This window comes from Homo sapiens, chromosome 11, assembly GCF_000001405.40.
Source record: "Homo sapiens chromosome 11, GRCh38.p14 Primary Assembly".
NCBI lineage: Eukaryota > Metazoa > Chordata > Mammalia > Primates > Hominidae > Homo > Homo sapiens.
The window spans coordinates 118,253,182-118,276,619 of record NC_000011.10 but is presented as its reverse complement, the minus strand read 5'-3'; the positions used below and the strand labels follow the sequence as shown (position 1 = coordinate 118,276,619).

The following is a 23,438-nucleotide window of genomic DNA, read 5'->3' as shown; positions in this document are numbered from 1 at the left end:
GGGATTACAAGTCAGTTCTTGCCATGAGCTTCTAAGCTTCCACTGCTGTTATTCAAGTAGGCTACTTGCAAGATCAGCTTTCCTCCAAAAAAGCTTATGTCTGTTTTCAAACGTAAGCTCACTGTCTCAGTGGTATTGATGGATCAAAATGTTTAATGGTGTTGGAAAAGGTGGAGCCTTTTTCCACTCTGCCTGGGACAGTGTACCTCTTGTGGAGAATCCACCTAACCTTCAGATTTTCCTCTACCCCTCTTCCTGTTCTGATTCAGTGAGTGCTCCATGCAACCACTTTTGCATACCTATGCTTAAATCCTTATATGTGTACAAAACCCATTGATAATGAAAAAGGTAAAACCTCTTTAGCATTACTGACAAATCTCTGTTGCCTTTCTCTTTCACACTTATTTAAAATTCCCATCACTTCTTAGAATTTCCCTGACATCATCAGACTTCAATGAAAAACCCTTGGACCAAACTGGAGACAAAAGACTCTCACCTTTGACAGCTCCTTTCCTGCTGCTCTGCCTCTTCTGTCTTAAGCTTGTTTTGTGGAGGAAGGATCATGGAGTTTGGAATTAAAGCCCAGTTGTACTACTTCCCAGCTATGTAAGCTTGGGTAAGTTACTAAATGTCCTAGTGTCATTTCCCTCATCTGCAAAATGAGGAGATTAATAAAGTACTTTCTAAGGTTGTTGTGAGATGTAAAGATATTAAAAGAAAATTATTGCCTGGGTGCGGTGGCTCGCGCCTGTAATCCCAGCACTGGGGGAGGCCAAGGTGGGAGGATTGCTTGAGCCCAGGAGTTCAAGACTAGCCTAGGCAGCGTAGCAAGACCCCGTTTCTACAAAGAATCCAAGTGTGGACGTGGTGGCACGTGCCTATGGTCCCAGCTACTTGGGTTGCTGAGGCAGGAGGATCGCTTGAGCCCAGGAGGTGGAGGCTGCGGTGAGCTGTGATCGAGCCACTGCACTCCAGCCTGGGTGACAGAGTGAGACTCTGTCTCAAAAATAAAAAAAGAAAGAAAATTATTTAACAAATGGTAGTTATTGCGATTCCCACAAGCTGGCCTCTGACTTGAAGCTCTTGTGTGAGCCATGCTATTTCACCCTAACCCAGCCCCCCTGTTCTTTTGTCATCGGGTCTTGGCTAAAGGATGCCATGTATGGTTAGCCTTTTCAGAGACAGCTTCCCTCATGCTTCCAGGCAGAGCTTGTTCTTCCTGTGCTATCATTTGAACTTGGCATTTCCTTTATTATTGACGTCACCCTGTATTGTGACTAATTTTCTTTTTCTTTAACCTGAGAGCTCCTTGAGGGCTAAGATCTTATCATTTTCACCCTTGAATTCCTGAGGATGGTGCCTGACACTTGGTAGTTGCTCAAAACTATTTTTTTAAAGTAATAGGAGGCAAACGGAACAAAATGAGATTTTGCACAGTCCTAACCTCATTGTAGGCAAAAATTCCAAGTATTTTCCCTTCGACTTTTTCTTTCAGGAGAGATGCTGAGAAAAGGATGCCTACTGTTTATTTCATTTGCTTTTGCTTCAAAAGTCTTCCAGAATGGTGGAGGTGCAGTTCTGGGGAGGGAAGGAAGGCACTACTGGTCAAAGAGTGGTTGGTACATACAACTGAGAGTTGACTGTTGACGTGTTTGGTAGATTCTAATGAGGAAGGGAGACTGATGTTGAAGGAGGAGTTGAAGTTGTCTCTGGAGTTGACCTGTGAGTTAGGCAGGTCTTGTTGTGAGTCTGACTATATCACTAGCCTGGTGACCTTGGTTATACTACTTGATCTCTTTAAGTCTCAGCCTTAGGCCAATTTCCTCTCTTATTCCTGTCAAAAAACCGTTGGGTCACCTCTGTCTTCAAGACTTCTGCCTCTCCATCTCCTCTACTCTAGGACAGTGACTTTCCTTCTCTACTACACAAGGAAAGTAGAGACCACTAGATGATAACTCCCTTACAGGGGAGAAAAAACTATAAAATCACACACACACACACACACACACACACACACACACACACACGCCCAGATCAAAAACTCCTTCAACTTTCTGTCCCAACCCTTTTACCTTCAAAGTTAACTGTACCTGTGCCCCATCTGGGGGCTCCCCTTTATGTAGATGGACTATATAAATTTTCTTCCAAACTGTAACACCACAGCGTAAAAGGCGTACAGTTAATCATTACAGTGGAATAAGAGGTATGAGCCAGGGCTGATTTAAGCAGCCAGAACATTCTTTACCTCTTCTTAACAATGCAAGAGGTACACTTCCTCCTGTCTTTGGCCTCAGTCCTAAAAGCATTTTAACATGCTAAAGTCTTTCCCTTAAAACCAACAAATAAATCAAGATCTGAAAACTTCTTTCTATTCCTATTTCTTTCCAGCTGCCTCTGTCTCTGCCCTCTTTATAAGCTCTGTCCTTTGAAGAGTAAACTACATCCTAGTCTACCATGATTCCTCAATCTACTGCAAAATGGGCTCTGCTTCATAACTTTTCTGATGAAACTGCTTCCACCAAAATCACCAACTGGGGAATCTTCTAGACATTTTCAGTCCTTGTTTTATTTGACTTTAGCAGCATTTGATATTTTGTGTATTTGCTCTTTTTTTTTTTTAGATGGAGTCTTGCTCTGTCACCAGGCTGGAGTGCAGTGGTACGATCTTGGCTCACTGCAACCTCCGCATCCCGGGTTCAAGCAATTCTTCTGTCTCAGCCTCCCGAGTAGCTAGGACTAGAGGTGTGTGCCACCACATCCAGCTAATTTTTGTATTTTTAGTAGAGACGGGGTTGCACCAGGTTGGCCAGGATGGTTTCGATCTCTTGACCTTGTGATCTGCCCACCTCGGCCGTATGCCTGTACTCCTAGTGTAGCCACTGCGTCTGGTCCCAATATTCGTTCATTATTTAAATACCTCTCTCCCTTGGCTTCTATGACCACTCTCTCCTGGTAATTCTCCTCTTTCCCTTTCGTCTGGACACTCTTATTCAGTGACTTTAGACATCTCCTCTTCCCCTTGTCCCTTAGGTATTGTTCAACCTCTAGATTCTGCCCTTTCCCACTCTACTGTGGTCTCGGACCATCTCATCTATTCCCACTCTCACAGTTACCTTCTAGAAAGGTGAAAGACGTCAGACTGGCATCTCCAGTCCAGAACTCTCTGTAGAGCTCAGATCTGTGTTGGGTACTACTGTCAAAAGACAAAATTACCACAGATTTAGCTTAAATATTGAATTGGCTTTTATTTGCAATTCTAGAAGAGGGCAACACCTCATTCCATAAAACAGAATGAGTGTTCTGATGAGCTGAGCACAGGGGGTTGGCTTTATAGGTAGAAAGGGGCTGAAGAAAGCAGATACAGGAAACAAAAAGTGGACGAACGGTTTTTTTGCTTGCTTTTGAGACAGGTTCTTGCTCTGATGGCCACACTGGAGTGCAGTGGCATGATTATAGCTGATTGCAGCCTCGAATTCCTGGCCTCAAGCAATCCTCCTGCTTCAGCCTCCGAAAGTGCTGGGATTACAGGCATGAGCCACTGCACCCAGCCTATGGGTGGTTTGGAAGTGACCTTCCTTCTTGGGCTAAAATAGAGGGGACTTCTGGCTGGGTATGGTGGTTCACGCCTGTAATCCCAGCACTTTGGGAGGCCAAGGCAGGTGGATTACCTGACATTAGGAGTTCGAGACCAGCCTGGCGAACATGGTGAAACCCCGTCTCTACTAAAAATATACAAATTAGCCATGTGCGGTGGCACACGCCTGTAATCCCAGCTGCTCAGGAGGCTGAGGCAGGAGAATCGCTTGAACCCGGGAGGTGGAGGTTGCAGTGAGCCGAGGTCATACCACTGCATTCTAGCCTGGGCAACAAGAGTGAAACTCCATCAAAAAGAACACACACACACACACACACACACACACAAAACAAAAAACAGGCTGGGCACAGTGGCTCATGCCTGTAATCCCAGCACTTTGGGAGGCCGAGGCGGGTGGATCACCTAAGGTCAGGAGTTCGAGACCAACCTGACCAACATGGAGAAACCCCATCTCTACGAAAAATACAAAATTAGGCAGGCGTGGTGGTGCATGCCTGCAATCCCAGCTACTTGGGAGACTGAGACAGGAGAATCACTTGAACCCGGGAGGCGGAGGTTGCGGTGAGCCGAGATTATTCCATTGCACTCCAACCTGGGCAACAAGAGTGAGATTCCATCTCAAAAAACCAAAAAACAAAACAAACAAACACACACAAAAAACACCAAAAAACGAAACAAAACAAAACAAAAAACCAGGGGACTTCCTTACCATACCAGTTCAGGTACACTGGCCTCTTTTGATTGGTTACTGTGACTCTTCTGTTCGTTTGCTTTAAACTGGCCCATTTCAGAGTTCAGTCTGATAACATGTCACCTAGCATGAGTGGCTCTATTCTGGTTTGGTCTGGTCTGCTGGGACCTACTGCAGGAGGCTAGTCCAAAACAATGGGCTCCCATAAACTTTATTTAATAGTGCTGTACTAAACTCTCTGCTTGGCTGTCCCATAGAAATATCAAATGCAGCAAGTCTTCATCTTCTCTGTTTGAGAGAAAGGCAGTCACCTTCCACCCAGTTACCTAGGTTCGAAATTTGAGAATTATCCTCCAATACTTAATATCCCTTCTGTCCACTTCTAATCATGTACCAATCCCCTTCCTTTCCATCTCCTTGATAGCTCTCGAACTCTTAACTTCTCTCAATTCCCTCTGCCACCATTTCAGCTCAGGTCAAATAATCTCTTGCCTGGGTTCCTGGAAGCCTCTTGCTTGGCCTTATTCCTCTCCAGTGCCTTTCTCCATACTGTAACTGAGCGATCTGTCAAATTCCCAAATCTGATCAAATCACTTACTGCTTAAACAGTTTCAGTGTTTCCTCATTGCCCTCAGGATAAAGCCCTAACTCCTTAACTCTTATCAAGGGCCTCTTGGGTCTGGCCCCTGATTAGATTTTCAGCCTCATCTCTGAGGGTCATTCACTTTTCTTTTTGCCCTTTTCTCTCCACTCACACTCAAGTTTTTTAATTGCCAAAAAGGCCATGTTTTCTCTTCTTTCTTGGGCTTTGTACCTACTTTTGCCCCTACCTGGGCTCACCTCTCAAATGCCACCTCCCATTGCCCACCTTGTATGTATCTTCAGAATTGAAGAATTATAATAGTAATTGCAATAATAGATAATGTTAATTGAGTGCCATTATGTGCTAAGTGATTTATTTGCACTATCTTATTCAATCCTCACAACCGCCCCATGAGGAAGGCCTCATTATCCTCATTGAATGGTTGAAGAGACTGAAATCCAGATACCCACACAGCAGTCAGAGTGATCATTTTAAACGTGAGTCAGATAATTTTACTTTTCATTTCATAACCTTTCTTTTTCTTTTGTGTTGTAGCAAAAATACATAACAAAAAATTTACCATTTTAACTACTTTTAAGTGTACAGTTCAGTGGCATTAAGTCCGTTCACATTCTTGTGCAACCATTATTACCGTCTATCTCCAGAGCTTTTACATCTCCCCAAATGGAAACTCTGTACCCATCAAACAATAACTCCCCATTCCCCTCTTCCCCCAGCCCCTGGCGACCACCATTCTACTTTCTGTCTCTATGGGTTTGACTATTCTTGATGCTCCCATATAAGTAGAATCATTCAGTATCTGTCCTTTTGTGACTGGCTTATTTCACTTAGCATAATGCCTTCAGAATTCATCCATGTTGAAATATGTGTCAAAATTTTATTCTTTGTAAGGCTGAAAATATTGCATTGTATGTATATGTCACATTTTGCCTATCCATTCTTACTTTGATGGACATTTGAGTTATTTTCATCTTTTGGCTATTGTGATTAATGCTGCTTTGAACGTCGGTGTCCAACTATCTGTTTGAGTACTTACTTTTAATTCTTTTGGGTACATGCCAGAAGTGGAATTCTGGGTCATATGGTAATTCTATGTTTAATTTTTTAGGAACTGTAATACTATTTTTCACAGTGACTGCACTCTTTTATATTCCCACCAGCAACACACAAAGATTCCAATTTCTCCACATTCTTGCCAACACTTATTTTCTTTCTCTTTTTTTTGGTAATAGTTATCCTAGTGGATGTGATAATAGCATCCTAATGGATTGAGGTTTTGATTTATATTTTCCTAATGTCTAGTGATGTTCAGTATTTTCTCCTGTGCCTACTGGCCATTTTATATCTTTTTGAAGAAATGTCTATTCCAGTCCTTTGCCCATTTTTTAATGGGGTTGTTTGGTTGCTGTTGTTGTTATTGAGTTGCAGGAATTCTTTATGTATTCTGAATATTAATCCTTTAGCAGAAATGTGATTTGCAAATATGAAATATTTTCTCCCTTTCCAGAGATTGTCTTTCATAACCCTTTAATGCTGCCCTGTACCCCTGGTGGTCTGGTCTGCCTTGTACCCCTCCATGCTTAGCCCCTCGCCACTGCCCCTTCACTCTGCTCCAGCCACACTGGTCTCCTTGTTTTTCTTCAAATACTCCACACATTCTCCTGGGAGCCTCAGGCCCTGTACTGTTTCCTCTGCCCGGAATGTCCTTCCTCCTGATCCACGTGGTTCACTACCTCACTTCATTCAGATGTTTCTTAAGTTTCATCTTATCAGAGAGGTCTTCCCTGACCACCCCTTGTCCCTTTGTTCACTACTTTATTCCTTGTGTGCCCAGGAAAATGCCTGGCATGTCATAGGTACCCAAAACGTGTTTCTTAAATGAATGAATGAATAAATGATGTAGACCTTTGATTCACACCCATGTTTCTCTCACCCTAGAGCCTGTAGCTGCTAGCCAGCTACACTGGATGGTTCCTGTTTTGGGAAGCCTTCCCAAGGCCTCCAAGGCTGGCTGAAGGACCCTGGCTTCCGTGTTTCTCTGATCACAACTCATTTGTCACATTGCATTGTAATTGTCTACTTATTTGACTGTGTTTCCTAAGATATAGTTAGCAACTTGAGGGCACACACTAATGTCTTGTTTGGCATCTAGCACAATTTCTAGCAACAGGGCTCAACAGGTATTAGAATGAATCAATCTCTCTGAGTCTCAATTCCTTATCTATAAAATGGAGATATCTACGTATCATCTTGCAGTTACGGAGATCAGAACTAATATATGTAATATGCCTACCACAGTGCTGGGTACGTGGTAGGCACTTGATAAATAGTAATTTAAAATTATTAATGGTAATTTTTATTTGTTAAAATCTACCAGTATTCTAAGGTATGTCTAAATTAGAATGATATAATGTAATGAACCTCCAACGCTTTATTACTGAATTTGTGTTGTCATTTACTTAATGCTGAAGAAACTTGGTGAATGTGGGAGCAAATTTCCCCTTAACATTTCATTATGAAAAATTTCTAACATGTAGAAAAGTTTAAAGAATTATACAGTAAATACCTGTGTATCCCACCTAGGTTCTTCAATTGACATTTTACTATACTTGATCACATATCTATCCATCCATCCATCCATCCATCCACCCACCCACCCATTCTTCCTTCCTTCCATCCATCCATTTATTAATGCATCTTATTTTTGATGCATTTTTAAATTAAATTGCAGACATCAGGATGCTTCCCCGTAAATACTTCAGCATTAATGAGAGTTTAGAATTTGTTTACAATTCTTTTAAAAAAATTACTGAAGTAAAACTTACATTCAATTAAATGTACAAGTCTTAAAAGTACACCATTCAAAGGGTTTTGGCAAGCGGTAACTCAAACCCTTGTCAAGATGAAGAACATTAATATCACTCTAGAAAGTTCTCTCATGCCCCTCCAGTCAATCCCTGCCCCCATTCCCCCAGGGGCAAACACTACTTTTATACTTTTTTCATGACAAGGTAGTTTTGCCTGTTCTAGAACTTCATATAAATGGAATCAAAGAGTTTATACTGTTTGTGTCTGGCTAATTTGTTCAACTTACTTTTGAGGTTCATCGTGGTGATATGTATCAGTGATTTGTTCCTTTTAATTGCTGAGTAGGATTCACGATATGAATATTCTACAGAGGATCCATTTTTCTGTTGATGGATCCCTGGGCTGTTCCAGTTTTGGGCTATTATGAATAAAGCTTCCATGATTATTCTCCTACAAATATCTTTCTGTATATATAATTTCATTCATCTTGGAGTGGAATTGCCAGGGTGGCTGAGTGTTTAGCTTCATAAGAAACTGCCAGCCCTTTTCCCAAACATCTTAACTAAGTATAGCCACAAACAACTAAAATTTACTGAATGTTTTGTGTGGGTGCTGAGCATAGAGCTTTAGTTAATGTACGTCACTTGATTCTTACATCCAGACTATGGGGTAAATGTTACTGTTCCCATTTTACATGTGAGATAACTGAAGCACGGAGAGTTAAATAACTGCCCAAGGTCACATAGCTAGTAAGCAGCTGAGCTTGGATCTGGATCTAGGCAGGTTGAACTCTAGCTCCTATACCTCATGCCTCCTAGAATATAGTAGCAAAAAAAAAAAAAAAAAAAAAAAAAGTGGCTATTTCTTTTCTCAGGAAATTAATTAACTCCCTAAGAATAAAAAATTGGTCATGGTAACCAATTTTAACAAGAGATAACTGGAACAATAATAAAAGATGCAGTGTTCATCAATAAACACAGTATAATGTAAATTCTTACCACCATTTAAATGTGGTGTGTATGGTTAACAGGGAGGTAGATAAATTCATTTATCAAGATCCCTTTATCCTCCCGAGAGGTTCCTTAAAGTTATCTTCAAAAATGCCCCATCTCTCTAGCCCTGCACAATCTATGTAGCTTCCCTTGAGAATAAGTGAAGCGTTAAACCACTTCAGAGTCTCTTCTTTGGGCTGGTTAATAAGGGCATGGTGCCTGTCCTCTATAATTACCAGAGGAGCCTGAGGCTTATTGGAGAGGTGCATATCAGCTGTAATGAGGTGGGGCAGGAAAGCGTTCCCTCCCACGATTTTTCTAAACTCATAGAGGCTCAGTTTCAGGCCCAGACCTGTTTTGGAATATCTCTAGGAAACTTCAGGCAAGAAGGAGGGCCACAGGGAACACAACTATTCCTTTGGGCTAAGAGCCCACCTCTCATCTAGGACTCTTGACAGCCTAGCCTCCCTCTCTCATCTTTGAAAAGCTCCCTTAACCCGGGGAAGTTTTGACAAAGGATGCTAGAGATTGGAGTTGTTGGTTGGGGAAGGCTGGGAGTCCCTGAGTCTTTGGAAAACAGATGTTAGGTCTACACTTTCATTCTGGCTCATAAGCCAGGAGCCCAAACGAAAGCCAGGAGAGTAAGTGGTCGTTGGTGTCCCAAGACTTTCCTTCTTGTTTTTAATGGTTCTGGGAAATACCAAAGTAATTCTACTTCTAGGGATGCTCTTCTTGGGTCACATATTAGCCATCCCCAATGGGTATATTTGTTAGGATCAAGTCCACACTCCTTAGGATGGTGGATGAGGGCACTGCCCAGGTGGACCTAGCCTCTCACCTGGCCTGCCACTCCTCCCTGTGCTCCAGGTTTGAGGAATTGCATGCTAGTCCCTGTGGGTACCACATTCCCACCCATTTGTTCCAATGGGAAGGACTTTGTTTATCCTCTTTCCAGAATTCCTATTCATCCTTTAAGGATTGAATTTAAAAATCAAGAAAGTGATAATTATTTGTTTACTTCACCTTCCTATCTTATATTATTTCCTCCCAGGTAGAAATATTCTATGTATGTCTGAATTTTTTCTAGTAAAAACATATGAACAGACACTTTTGAGTAAACGAATGCTTTATTTGATGACCCTAAGAGCTAAATTATTTGTTTTCCTTGCTTCACAGAATGCTAATTTCACCTTAGGTGAAAAAAAGATTTTTGCCTAGGAGGTTGAGAAAGACAACTTTTACAAATATTGATACAGGCCCACTGTCCCTTCTGTCTCCTGAGCCCCCAGTGAGTCTCCTGCTGGCTAAGGTCTAGATACTCACTAGAAATCATTTTTTGGGAAATGTGTAGATGGATGGGACAGATGAGATTCTTTCAAAAACTATTGGTATGTCACAATTTTAAATGACAATCAGGATCTTTCTCTGGAAAAGTTTAGAAAGAAAATGGTGTCTCTGAAAACTTTACTTTTCTTCTTTTCAATTTCCAGAACTCCTCTTCCTTTCCTTCCATTTGCCTGGGCACAAACATAACTTAGGCCTTATGTAGATGCCTGCAGTTTTGGTCTAAGTCCTGCTGACTGGTGTCCAGAAAACTGTGAGGGGCAAACATCCTTTTTATTTAGCATTTTCTCTTCTTAACCTTCTACCCTTGGCCTCTTCCTTGCCCAGTGAGGTGAAGTGGTTGACTGTGGAGCCACTCCTGCTAACTGGAAGGAACTGGGCGTTGCCAGGCACTAAGCCAGGAACTTGAACTCAGCTGAGAAGTGGGATCTGGATAACTCCTGCCCCTCAGAGCAAGGCTGGCAACCAGCTCATGGGTGTTTGGCTACCTGGGGGAGGGATTTCTGCTCCTGACAACAGGCAGTTTGTTCAGTTCTTCCTGCCCTGATTCTTCTCCTGTTGCTTTTCACTGCATCCCTGAGCTCTTTGGTAACTCTACCTCTCACCAGTTTTTGCAATTTGCTGTAGACTTCAAAATCCTGGCTCTACCTCTCCTTCCTCTGTAGCTGTATTTCCCTGCAAAGTTGGAAGCCAACCAAGATCAAGTTTCCTTAACTCTTTTTCTTTCAGGGTCCTGGAGCTGAACTCTTCTGACCTACATACCAGAAAGGCTGTATCTTATCCTTCCTCACCAACATCTGAAAGGTTCCCCCAGCAGACTGATTTTAGGTCCCTTTCTGAACTAGAATCTGACAAAGACGCCACACAGTTTTCAGAAACTCTCACCATGCAACAGATTTTCACTAGCACACAGCTGGTCTGCATTTGGGGCCACCTCTGCTTTCTGAGTTCCAACACAATGGATTTTTGTGGTTGTCTACCTGTTTTTGCTCCATGCCCATGTCATCTTTCTCCTGTTGCTTTCTGTTTTCTGCACTTCTGCATTCTCCTCTCTTTTGGTAGAATTTTCTCTTTTCTTCCCTCTTTATGATGTTTTATTTTTTTCTACTCAGCCTGCCGCCTTCTCTTGTTCCTGCCACCCTTTCTGCTCTGGATTCAGCTAGAAGATTTTATGAGTGACTGAAGAGTTTCTAGACTGCTAATCCAGGGATAAACGCAATCTGTCTTTTTTCAGGGTTAGATTCCCAGCCCAGCCTACTTCTTAACTGCATGTGTAATCTTCATCCCCCTCCTACCGATGTTTCTGTGCCGCTTCATTAATCTGTAAAGATGACCCACCCTCTTTCCAGACAAGGAGGCATCTTTTCTCGTTTAGATTCCTCAGCTCTTTAGACTTCTCAGTCATTTAGCTATTCAAAAAATGACAGATGAAATCCGAGGCACAACAAAGTTATCATGAAAACCTTTTCCTTGAGAGCCCCATGTCTGATTGTTCATATTAGCTGTTATTTGGTGGAAAGAACGCTAGATTTTTAAGAAAAGTTCTGGTTTTGCCACATGGTAGCTGTGCAACCTTGGGCAAATCATTTACCTTCCTCGGGTTCTTAGCGTCCTCACTGGTAGAATGGGAATGCTTCACAAGGGCGTTAATGGAGATGAAACAATCAGCAGGAGAGCACTTTGTAGATTGCACTCGGATGGCAGGGTGAATGAGCAGGGATGGTGTCCTCATTTGTTTTTAAAGTCTTCAAAGGTAAAGGATTGTTAAGCATGGAGATTTGATTTGTTGTTTCTGCCAGGTCTCCTGGAAAGCTACAAACTAGAAGAAGTGCAGGAATCCTTGTGGTAACAGGGGTATCAGCTTTTTGTCCACAGAGGGTCCTAAGGAATTCCGACTCCCGTTTTGAAATTGTATCGAATCCAGTCCCAAGTGAATGTGGCCCTGGGGTGGTGCTTTGAGAAGTGGAATCACTGCAGGACAGTTTCAACATTCACTTCCCAGGCAAGCCTAAAGCCTGTTTTAAAAGGGCGTGTGGGGGCCAAACCCATAACAGTCTGGGACATTTCAGACTGGCACCACCTCCTCTGGCTGTTTCCGAGGCCATCTAGAGGCCAGAGCCCAGTCAGATTAACTGAAAGTAAAGAGAGGACTGCGGGAGTTTGGGACCTTTGTGCAGACGTGCTCATGCTCGTTCGTGTAGAGGGCGGGAGAGAGGAAAGGAAGGAGGGCATTGGGAGCTGAGGCCCCACCTTTCATTTCAGAAAAGTGCACAGGCAGAGCGGGCTGAGTCACAGGCACAGGTGAGGAACTCAACTCAAACTCCTCTCTCTGGGAAAACGCGGTGCTTGCTCCTCCCGGAGTGGCCTTGGCAGGGTGTTGGAGCCCTCGGTCTGCCCCGTCCGGTCTCTGGGGCCAAGGCTGGGTTTCCCTCATGTATGGCAAGAGCTCTACTCGTGCGGTGCTTCTTCTCCTTGGCATACAGCTCACAGGTAAGAGCCGGCGGGCTTCTCTCAGAGTTTCCTCCTTCACTGCTCACTCTATAAAGTTAGCTAATTGTCTTAGAAGTTGCAAGACTTTTGTTTGGGAGCCTGAGCCACAGATACAGTTTGTTTTACTTTGGGTTTTACTGAAACCAAAGTTGGTGGACTGTTTTTGGAGAACTGCTCTCGGACAAACAGGTTTAGGTGTGTTCAGCTGCCAGTGATTCAGGCACAGAGAGGGCTTTCTAATCTCAGGTTACATGCCATTTTTTTGTGTGTGGCTGTTCTCAACCTCCCACTGCTGGCAGGACTTGGCATTTGGATTTCTGTGTGTGGGTCTTGTCTGTGACTCTCAGCAACACCAGGAAAGTGGAGATTGTTAGAGAGAGACCTACTGTGATTTTGAAAGTGCCCCAACACACACATTCTAAATGTAAATATCAAGTTTAAAAAAATGCCACGTGGTACAAAGGTTCTAGGGGTGCAGGCAAACATAAGCTGTCTGGAGTTGATTAATTCAGTTTCTGCAATAGACTAGTAACAGTATGAAATCCACCTAAGGACCCATCTGGAAAACTTACCTGCTAGGAGACCACTTTACATACAACACATAATGCTTAACCTTAATACATAATGTAATGTCTAATCAATGTTATGATTCATTTTAATTTTTTGTTTATGCTTTCAATTCTATTTGCGGATGTTTGTAGTTTGTTATAACAGTTTTGAAGTCAGTACCACGAGGCGAGGCTTTAATGCTGTGGAGAAAGTAAAAGCACTGCGAAGGCTTGCTGTGTGGTAGTTTAGTTGTCACATGGAATGGGAGGGTCCAGGCTGCATACAGGTAGGAGTATGTAGATTCTGGGTGAAGTAAGTTTGGGAGATGGGGCATCTCAGTTTCACTTTACTTTAAGTCCTACTCAGATATTTATTTTGGAAGTGTCAGCAGAAGTTCTCACAATACTACATCCCCTGTTAACCCTTCTTTTTCTTCTTTTTCATTGCAGCTCTTTGGCCTATAGCAGCTGTGGAAATTTATACCTCCCGGGTGCTGGAGGCTGTTAATGGGACAGATGCTCGGTTAAAATGCACTTTCTCCAGCTTTGCCCCTGTGGGTGATGCTCTAACAGTGACCTGGAATTTTCGTCCTCTAGACGGGGGACCTGAGCAGTTTGTAAGTAGATTATCATCATTTTCCAGGGTACTCTTGTTTAGGGAAATAATAAGCCAGTCCATTTCTCCTTTCCCTTCCAGTATTTTTCTTAGCAGCAAGCACAAGGTTAAGCTCGGAAACAATTCTTGGGACAGAGACTGAGAGGCCGTTGAAGGGGAAAGCAAGTGACAGAGCTGCAGACAGGACAGTTGGGTTTGCTGGTGTTTCACTTCCGCTCCCACCATCTTGGCCTCCTTGCCTGGGTGCTGAGTAAGAAGACCTTTTGCCATTTCCCCTCTCTAGGTATTCTACTACCACATAGATCCCTTCCAACCCATGAGTGGGCGGTTTAAGGACCGGGTGTCTTGGGATGGGAATCCTGAGCGGTACGATGCCTCCATCCTTCTCTGGAAACTGCAGTTCGACGACAATGGGACATACACCTGCCAGGTGAAGAACCCACCTGATGTTGATGGGGTGATAGGGGAGATCCGGCTCAGCGTCGTGCACACTGGTAGGTTATGCAGGGAACAGTGGTTTTGGAAAGGATGAGAGCTTGTAGAAAAGAAAGGGGCAATCTTTGTTAAGGCTGAGAGAGAGGGACAATCTTTTGTGATGGATAGAGAGAGGGACTAGCCCTTCAGAACTGGGAGCCTCAGAGGGAGACCGAAGAGTTCTGGGGTAAAAAGAGAAAGGCTTTGTTTGGCTGTGGAAAGAAACAGAAAGTAAAGCAAAGGAACTCAGAGAATCCGTTACAAAAATGGCATTGAGATTGTGAAAGGGAGAGGGAGCAATTCTTTGATGAAAGGCTTACAACAGGTCTGTTCACTCACTCATTTATTCGAGATACTTATTGAGTACCTACTCTAATGCTAGGCACCGTCAAAAGTGCATGACATACACTATCTCATTGAATCCCCACACCACTCTAGGAGGCAGGTACTAATGATGGGAGCTAACACTTACTGAGTACTTCCCAAATGTCAGGGGCTTTACATGACACATTTTATTTAATCTTTACATATCTCATCAGTTTATTGTGCATTTAATGCCTCCCATCTTGCCAATGAGGAAACGAGGCTCACAGAGGTTAAGTCATTTGCCCTGAGTCACGTAGCTGATAAATGGAGTAACTTAGGACTCAAACCCAATCAACTTTGAATCTAAAACTGTGCTCTAAATTGGTGCATTGTATTGTCTGCATCCCTATAAAGGACAATCTGGAAAACCATGCCAAGCAACAAAGAGCAAAGTACACGAAACTTATGAATTGTAGATCTGGGTTTGAGTCATTGCTACCATTTACCAGCTATCAATAAGTCTTATTTTCCTCATCTGTAAAGTGAGAATAACACAGTAAGGATCACAGTGAGGATAAAATGAGATAATAAATGTGAATATGTCCCAACCTCTGAATTGTACTTAACAGCTACCATACATTGAGTGTTTATTTTGTACAGGCACAGCAAGGAACAACTTACATGAATTATTTTATTTTTTATTAAGAACTCAAGAAATGAATATCATTATCTCTGTTTATACATGAGGAAACTGAGGCTCAAAGAAGTTAATTACTTCAAATCACACAGCTAAGTATTTCAACCTAGTGCTCTCTGGTGTGTGCTCTTAACCAACACTACTCCAAACATATAAGCCTGTGCAGTGGTACGATTTCCTTTCATTCATAGTACAGTTTAAAACCATTTCTCAATGCCCCACCAATAGAGGGCTGTGTGACCTTGCAGAAGTCATTTGAGTATTGAAAGAAATAATGTAATGGTTTTGGACCTCAGTTTCTTCATCTGCACAATGAAGAGGTTAAACACACAAAAAATCAGTGGTTCTTAAATATATGTGGATAATTATTCTTTGAGAATCAAATAAAAGCCATGGCCCTGCTTCCCATAAAACAGTGGAGACATACAAAATGAGACTTGGATTCTGTGGGCTTGCAGACTACCTTCCATCCTCTTCCCCATCCTCCTTCATGGAGTCAAGGCTGGGAATCCTGGGCTAGACATTCTCTAATGTCCTTTCTGGCTCTGAGGGCTTATGGAAGTATAATCAGAAATAAAGCTAAAGGACAAGAAAACCAGGGTTCACAGACTCTAGTGTGGCTTAGGGGACCTTCCCTCTGGTTTCCCTTTTCCATCATTTATCCACTAGACTGTAGCTTCTGATTTACTTTCCTATCCTCTCAGTGGCATGAGCTCCTTGAAGGTGATGTCTTTTTTGGCTCAGCATTTCTATCACAGTGCCAGGAATGTAGTAGGCCCTTAATAAATCTGAATAAATAACTGACTGAGTGAAAGTGGTGAGAAGTCAGGGAGAAATGGGTTGGGCACTACGTTTGATGAGGTTAGCAAAAACCTTACCCCATAAGTAGTTCAACCCACCCAGTGGTTTTCAAAGCTGCATCAGAATCACCTGGAGGACCTGTTAAGACACAGATTGCTCAGCCGCACCTCTAGTGTTTCTAATTCAGTAGGTCTGGGGTGGGGCCTAAGATTTCCATGTTCTCAAGTGATATTGTTGCTGTTACTTCGAAGACCACACTTTGAGAACCATTAAAGTATGTGTATGGTTTTCCTATTGCTAGTAGGATTCACAAGGTAATATATTATTTTATGCATAAAGGTAGGATAAAGGAAGATTCCATCTATTGATTAAATGCATCCCTATTATGTCATTAGATTTCATTGTAGTCCTCTTCTTTTTAGAATCCTAATTTAATCTTTTTCTCCTTACAGTACGCTTCTCTGAGATCCACTTCCTGGCTCTGGCCATTGGCTCTGCCTGTGCACTGATGATCATAATAGTAATTGTAGTGGTCCTCTTCCAGCATTACCGGAAAAAGCGATGGGCCGAAAGAGCTCATAAAGTGGTGGAGATAAAATCGTAAGGCTGGGCAGTTCTGGGAAAGTTCTAACACTCTTATGGCGACTCTTGGTATTTTGCAGTGGGCTAAATAGTTGCTGAACAGATGTTTTTCCCTTTAAGTAAATCCTATATAAAAGAATTCACATTTGCAGGACAGATAAATCAGGTATGAACTAGTAACTTTACAAAAGCTTTCTTAATTTTACAAAATATTTCCTTATGGGATTTCTTTACTATGTGGGGGGGTTGATTTTACAAAAATGTGCTATGTAAAGCTTTTCTAAAAAATCCCTTATGTTTAAAGTGAAGCATACATTTGTAAAAACCACTGGGCTAGGCAGTCAGCAGGGCCACTATGAGTCAGGGCTTAGGAAAGTCTGTTGTGCTGATAGCAGGTGTTCATTAAATGTATTTTAAAATTGAGATAAAATTTACCCACCATAAAATTTACCTTTTTCATTTTCACAAAGTTGTGCAGCAATCATCACTAATTGCAGAACGTTTTTAAGCTCCCTCCCGTAAAGAAACCCCATATCCCTAGCTATCACTCCCTATTATCCCCTCCTACCAGCCCCCGACAACTACTCATCTACTTTCTGTCTCTATGGATTTGCTTATTCTGGACATTTCATTTAAATAGAATCATACAATATGTGGTCTTTTATGCCCAGCTTCTTTCACTTAGCATAATGCTTTCAAGGCTCATCCTTGTTGATGTATTAGTATTTCTTTCCTTTTTATGACTGCATAATATTCCATTGTATGAATATACCACATATTGTTTGTCCATTCAATTGATGGGCATTTAGGTTTTTTCTGCTTGTTGGCTGTTGTGACTAATGCTGCTATAAACATTCATTTACAAGCTTTTGTGTAGATCATATGTTTTTAATTCTCCTAAAAGTGGAATTGTTGGGTCTTATGGTAACTCTGTTTAGTTTTTGGAGGAATTGCCAGACTGTCTTTAAACAGCTGGACTATTTTGCATTCCTGTCAGCAATATATGAGGGTTCTGATTTCTCCCCATCCTCCTCAACACTCATTGTCTTTTTTTTTTTTAATCATAACCGTGTATTAGGCCATTCTTGTGTTGCTATATAAAAAAACCCCTAAGACTGGGTAATTTATAAAGAGATTTAATTGGCTCACGGTTCTGTGGATGTACAAGCATGGCGCCGATGTTGGTTGGCTCCTGAGGAGGCCTCAGGGAGCTTTTACCGATGGCAGAAGGCACAATGGGAGCAGGAATTTTGCATGGTGAGAGCAGGAGAAAGTGAGAGAGTTGGGGGGAGGTGCTACATAGTTTTATATGACCAGATTTTGTGAGAACTCACTCACTATTGAAGACAGCACCAAGCCATGAGAGATCTGCTCCCATGACCCAAACACCCTCCACCAGGCCCCACCTCTAGCAATGCAGATTACAATTCAACATGAGATTTGGGCGGGGACAAATACCCAAACTATATGAAGCCATCTAGTGGATGTGAAGTGGTATCTCATTGGGGTTTTGATTTGCATTTTTCTAATGACTTGATGTTGAGCATCTTCCCATGTTCTTATTGTCCATTTGTATATCTTATTTGGAGATGCATACATTCAGAGTTTGCCCATTTTAATATGGGGTACATTATTTCACTTATTCTTGTTGAACTGTAAGAGTTATTTAAGGGATACTAGTTCCTTATCAGATATACAACTTGCAATTTTTTTCCCATTCTGTGGGTTGTCTTTTCATGTTCTTCATAGTGTCCTTTGAAGAACAAAAGTTAAATTTTGATGAAGTCCAGTTTATTTTTTCTCTTTTGCTGCTAGTGCTTTTGTGTCTCATCTAAAAAACCACTGCCTAATCCCCAAGATCATGAAGATTTATGGCTATGTTTTCTTCTAAGAGTTTTATAGTCTTAATTTTTACATTTAGATCTTTGAGTTCGTTTTCGTATATGGCTGAGGCAGAAGTCCAAATTCACTCTTTTGCATGTGGATATCTAGTTGTTCCAGCACCATTTATCTCATTTCCTTAATAAATATTTAATGAAATAAACAGCCTTTTTTTTTTTTGAGACAGACTTTCACTCTGGTTGCCCAGGCTGGAGTGCAATGGCATGATCTCAGCTCACTGCAACCTCCGCCTCCTGGGTTCAAGCGATTCTCTTGCCTCAGCTTCCCAAGTAGCTGGGATTACAGGCATGTACCACCATGCCCAGCTAATTTTGTATTTTTAGTAGAGATGGGGTTTCACCATGTTGGTCAGGCTGGTCTTGAACTCCTGATCTCAAGTGATGTACCTGCCTTGGCCTTCCAAAGTGTTGGGATTACAGCGTGAGCCACCGCGCCTGGCGAAACAGAACTAATTTTAAGAAGCCTAACAAACCCAACTCTGAGGTTCTAGTTTGAATAGAACCAATAAAGATGACTTAGGTCAACACAAAACTTTTTATTTTTTTTTTGAATAACAAATATAAATTAGAGGTGGGATACTAATGGTAAAATAAGGTGTCTGCTTTAAAACTCTGGAGTTCCCGAATCAGAACCCAAACTGTATTCCCTTACATTCTGAAAAGTCTCTAAGTTCAGAGGTGTGAATATTATTAATTAGATGGCACCAGTTTAGCTCTGTGTAAACTTCAATCTACTCCCAAGTGCATGTAATTCTTCCAAAAATATGGGGGAAAAATACCTTACCTGAAGCTTCTGTGGGATTTACCCACTTGCTTCTTGTCTTGTTCACCTGACATTTGGTTTCTGCTTGTTACAGAAAAGAAGAGGAAAGGCTCAACCAAGAGAAAAAGGTCTCTGTTTATTTAGAAGACACAGACTAACAATTTTAGATGGTAAGGTTCACAAATAGGTTGATTTCTTTCTTCAGCTTTCTGACATGTCCAGCCCATCTCTAATGAGGACTCCCAGATCATCACTTTATGGCTGTTAGGTGTTTCCCATATGAAATTAGAGGAGCTGGGTCAGGGAGACAAAAGTCTTCTATTAGTCTTATGGATAGCTCCTCCTTGAGTGTATTTTGTGCAAAAGATTAAGAAGCTGGACTCTACTGCCATTAAAGCTGAGAGAATCCTAAGGTTATTTGTGGCTTCGGGGTTATATTTATTACTACTACTACTAATAAATATTCAACAAGTAAATAAATCTTTTTTAAATCAAAAGATTAGTATCTGCTTATTCTTTTTTTTTAATTGTAAACCAATTATGGTATTAAGAGAGTGACTCAATAGACATATCTGGCAGTTTTTACAGGAGAGCTTTTGTACTATTTGGAATTGATTTCAACTCCTCTCATTTAGTTATTGGCACTAATAACTACATGAAATGAATCCAGTTTTAGTAGCGTATAATTTTATTTTTCCAGTTTTCAGGTTCATCAGGCTTAAAAAGTAGGATAATTTATTTTTCTTGTCTTTGTTTTTGAGACAGGGTCTCAACCTGTTGCCCAGGCTAGGGTGTAGTGGTGCGATCTCGGGTCACTGCAACTTCTCCCTCCCAAGCTCAAGTGATCCTCCTACCTCAGCCTCCCAAGTAGCTGGGACCACAGGTGCGCGCCACTACACCCAGCTAATTTTTGTACTTTTTGTAGAGACGGGGTTTCCCCATGTTGCCTAGGCTGGTCTCACCTGAGCTCAAGCGATCCACCTGCCTCAGCCTCCCAAAGTGTTGGGATTACAGGCATAAGCCACTGCGCCGGGCCAATTTATTTTTCATATGCTCAGAATTTCTCCCATTCTCTGAAATAGGTCCACACATTTAATTTCTAGATGTTATAAATCCGGACATGCAAACTTAAATTTTACGCTCATAAGAAAGTTCTTGATATTAATGACTTTATCCTGTAAAACTCTGGCTCTGTTACACGGGAGAACATTTTTTACAGACCGTTATTAGTTGCAAAGAGGGTCACATTTTTATAGGCTAAAGCTCCAGTGAAAGACCTCAAGGATTTATAAAATAGAATATGGAGTAAAATGATTGTATTGTAAAACCAGAAAACCAAAATTAACATTAGGGAGTTTTTACCAACCAACGGCTATTGTCTTTTTAAAGTTAAGGGGATTATCTAACAACTTGGGGTCATGGAAAATAAATATGGGAGATGTTTTAGATCAAAAGAAACTTAAGAGATGAACACAATCAAAGTGCAATGTGTGATCCCCAACTGGATGAATAATAGTGTGAACAAGCTAGTTGTAAAAACAAGCTTGGAGGGGCAATTGGGAAAGTCTTGAATATGAAAATGTTAAATATATGGATAATATTAGGGAATTATTGTTAGTTTGTATTAGGTATAGTGATGGTATTGTAGTTATAAAGAAAATGTACCTATTTTGAAAAATTCTTACTGGAGTATTGGGGTAAATGTCAGCAATTTACTTTAAAAGCATAGGAAAAAAGCAAATAAAACAAAAAAGGCTTCAGAATTAGGTGATGGGGGAGATGAGGGGAGAAAAGAAAAGAAAAGAATGAATTAATGAATTTAAGGGATGGGTAAATTCCACATACTCTGTTCTCTACTTTTCTATATGTCTGATTTTGTTTGTAATGAGAGTGAGAAGTGGGGAGAATATGGGATGTATGTGTGTGAACAAGTTGTGGGTCATCCAAGTGTCCATGCAAGGTACTTAGAGGCCATGATTTAAGGATACTAACTCTGAAAATTATGTAATAAGGATTAGGAAACTTCTTTTAAAAATTAAATTGGGGGAGAATATGAATACTTTCCCTCAGAATATTTTCCTTCTAATAACATATATGTAATTCATAATGCCAAGTATTCCTATTGTACTCTTCTCAAATATATTATCCATTTAAACTTTTGTTTTGTGTTTTAGGAAGCTGAGATGATTTCCAAGAACAAGAACCCTAGTATTTCTTGAAGTTAATGGAAACTTTTCTTTGGCTTTTCCAGTTGTGACCCGTTTTCCAACCAGTTCTGCAGCATATTAGATTCTAGACAAGCAACACCCCTCTGGAGCCAGCACAGTGCTCCTCCATATCACCAGTCATACACAGCCTCATTATTAAGGTCTTATTTAATTTCAGAGTGTAAATTTTTTCAAGTGCTCATTAGGTTTTATAAACAAGAAGCTACATTTTTGCCCTTAAGACACTACTTACAGTGTTATGACTTGTATACACATATATTGGTATCAAAAGGGATAAAAGCCAATTTGTCTGTTACATTTCCTTTCACGTATTTCTTTTAGCAGCACTTCTGCTACTAAAGTTAATGTGTTTACTCTCTTTCCTTCCCACATTCTCAATTAAAAGGTGAGCTAAGCCTCCTCGGTGTTTCTGATTAACAGTAAATCCTAAATTCAAACTGTTAAATGACATTTTTATTTTTATGTCTCTCCTTAACTATGAGACACATCTTGTTTTACTGAATTTCTTTCAATATTCCAGGTGATAGATTTTTGTTGTTTTGTTAATTAATCCAAGATTTACAATAGCACAACGCTAAATCACACAGTAACTACAAAAGGTTACATAGATATGAAAAGATTGGCAGAGGCCATTGCAGGATGAATCACTTGTCACTTTTCTTCTGTGCTGGGAAAAATAATCAACAATGTGGGTCTTTCATGAGCAGTGACGGATAGTTTAGCTTACTATGTTTCCCCCCCAATTCAATGATCTATAACAACAGAGCAAAGTCTATGCTCATTTGCAGACTGGAATCATTAAGTAATTTAATAAAAAAATTGTGAAACAGCATATTACAAGTTTGAAAATTCAGGGCTGGTGAAAAAAATCAACTCTAAATGATGATAATTTTGTACAGTTTTATATAAAACTCTGAGAACTAGAAGAAATTATTAACTTTTTTTCTTTTTTAATTCTAATTCACTTGTTTATTTTGGGGGAGGAAGACTTTGGTATGGAGCAAAGAAATACCAAAACTACTTTAAATGGAATAAAACCAACTTTATTCTTTTTTTCCCCCATACTGGTAGATAAAGCAAACTTTATAAGTGGGCTATTGAAAGAAAAGTTACAAGCTTAAGATACAGAAGCATTTGTTCAAAGGATAGAAAGCATCTAAAAGTTTAGGCTCAAGATCAATCTTTACAGATTGATATTTTCAGTTTTTAATCGACTGGACTGCAGATGTTTTTTCTTTTAACAAACTGGAATTTTCAAACAGATTATCTGTATTTAAATGTATAGACCTTGATATTTTTCCAATACTATTTTTTAAAAAATTGTATGATTTACATATGAACCTCAGTTCTGAAATTCATTACATATCTGTCTCATTCTGCCTTTTATACTGTCTAAAAAAGCAAAGTTTTAAAGTGCAATTTTAAAACTGTAAATTACATCTGAAGGCTATATATCCTTTAATCACATTTTATATTTTTTCTTCACAATTCTAACCTTTGAAAATATTATAACTGGATATTTCTTCAAACAGATGTCCTGGATGATGGTCCATAAGAATAATGAAGAAGTAGTTAAAAATGTATGGACAGTTTTTCCGGCAAAATTTGTAGCTTATGTCTTGGCTAAATAGTCAAGGGGTAATATGGGCCTGTTGTTTAGTGTCTCCTTCCTAAAGAGCACTTTTGTATTGTAATTTATTTTTTATTATGCTTTAAACACTATGTAAATAAACCTTTAGTAATAAAGAATTATCAGTTATATAATTTGTGTATATACATATCTAGAAGTTCTACATTGCAGGAAAAACAGATGGATATATATTTAATCTTTACCAAAAAGTTTTCTTAGTAGAGACAACCTGCAAGTCAATAATGGATACAGTTAGTTTCTAATGGGTAAACAGAAGTATACGGATTTCCACAGAATTTTCACACTGTTTTGGATAGCTGGGAATTGGGCATAACAACACTACTTAGTTTGAGGGCTCTTTCAAAGAA

General features: G+C 40.6%; 1 protein-coding gene across 3 annotated transcripts, besides 1 other annotated feature; it reads left to right on the top strand.

Annotated features, from left to right (window-relative positions):
• Positions 1 to 12,322: 12,322 nt before the first annotated feature.
• MPZL2 (myelin protein zero like 2) lies at positions 12,323 to 23,204 on the top strand. Of its 3 annotated transcripts, NM_005797.4 has the most exons (6): positions 12,323 to 12,524; positions 13,523 to 13,689; positions 13,972 to 14,182; positions 16,419 to 16,566; positions 19,307 to 19,382; positions 21,387 to 23,204. In NM_005797.4, exons 1-5 carry the CDS (start codon positions 12,467 to 12,469, stop codon positions 19,368 to 19,370), a joined length of 648 nt encoding a protein of 215 aa, NP_005788.1. In that variant the 5' UTR covers positions 12,323 to 12,466; the 3' UTR covers positions 19,371 to 19,382; positions 21,387 to 23,204. The 3 variants fall into 3 exon arrangements, with proteins under 3 accessions (NP_005788.1, NP_658911.1, XP_047282185.1); NM_144765.3 differs by lacking the exon at positions 21,387 to 23,204 and having other exon boundaries at positions 19,307 to 19,709; XM_047426229.1 differs by lacking the exons at positions 19,307 to 19,382; positions 21,387 to 23,204 and having other exon boundaries at positions 13,972 to 14,118.
• Positions 12,522 to 12,571: an enhancer, noted in NCBI's record as "active region_5587". NCBI's record gives its function as "activates an Ori minimal core promoter by ATAC-STARR-seq in GM12878 lymphoblastoid cells {active_cell/tissue: GM12878}" and the evidence as "EXISTENCE:reporter gene assay evidence [ECO:0000049][PMID:35858748]".
• Positions 23,205 to 23,438: the final 234 nt, after the last annotated feature.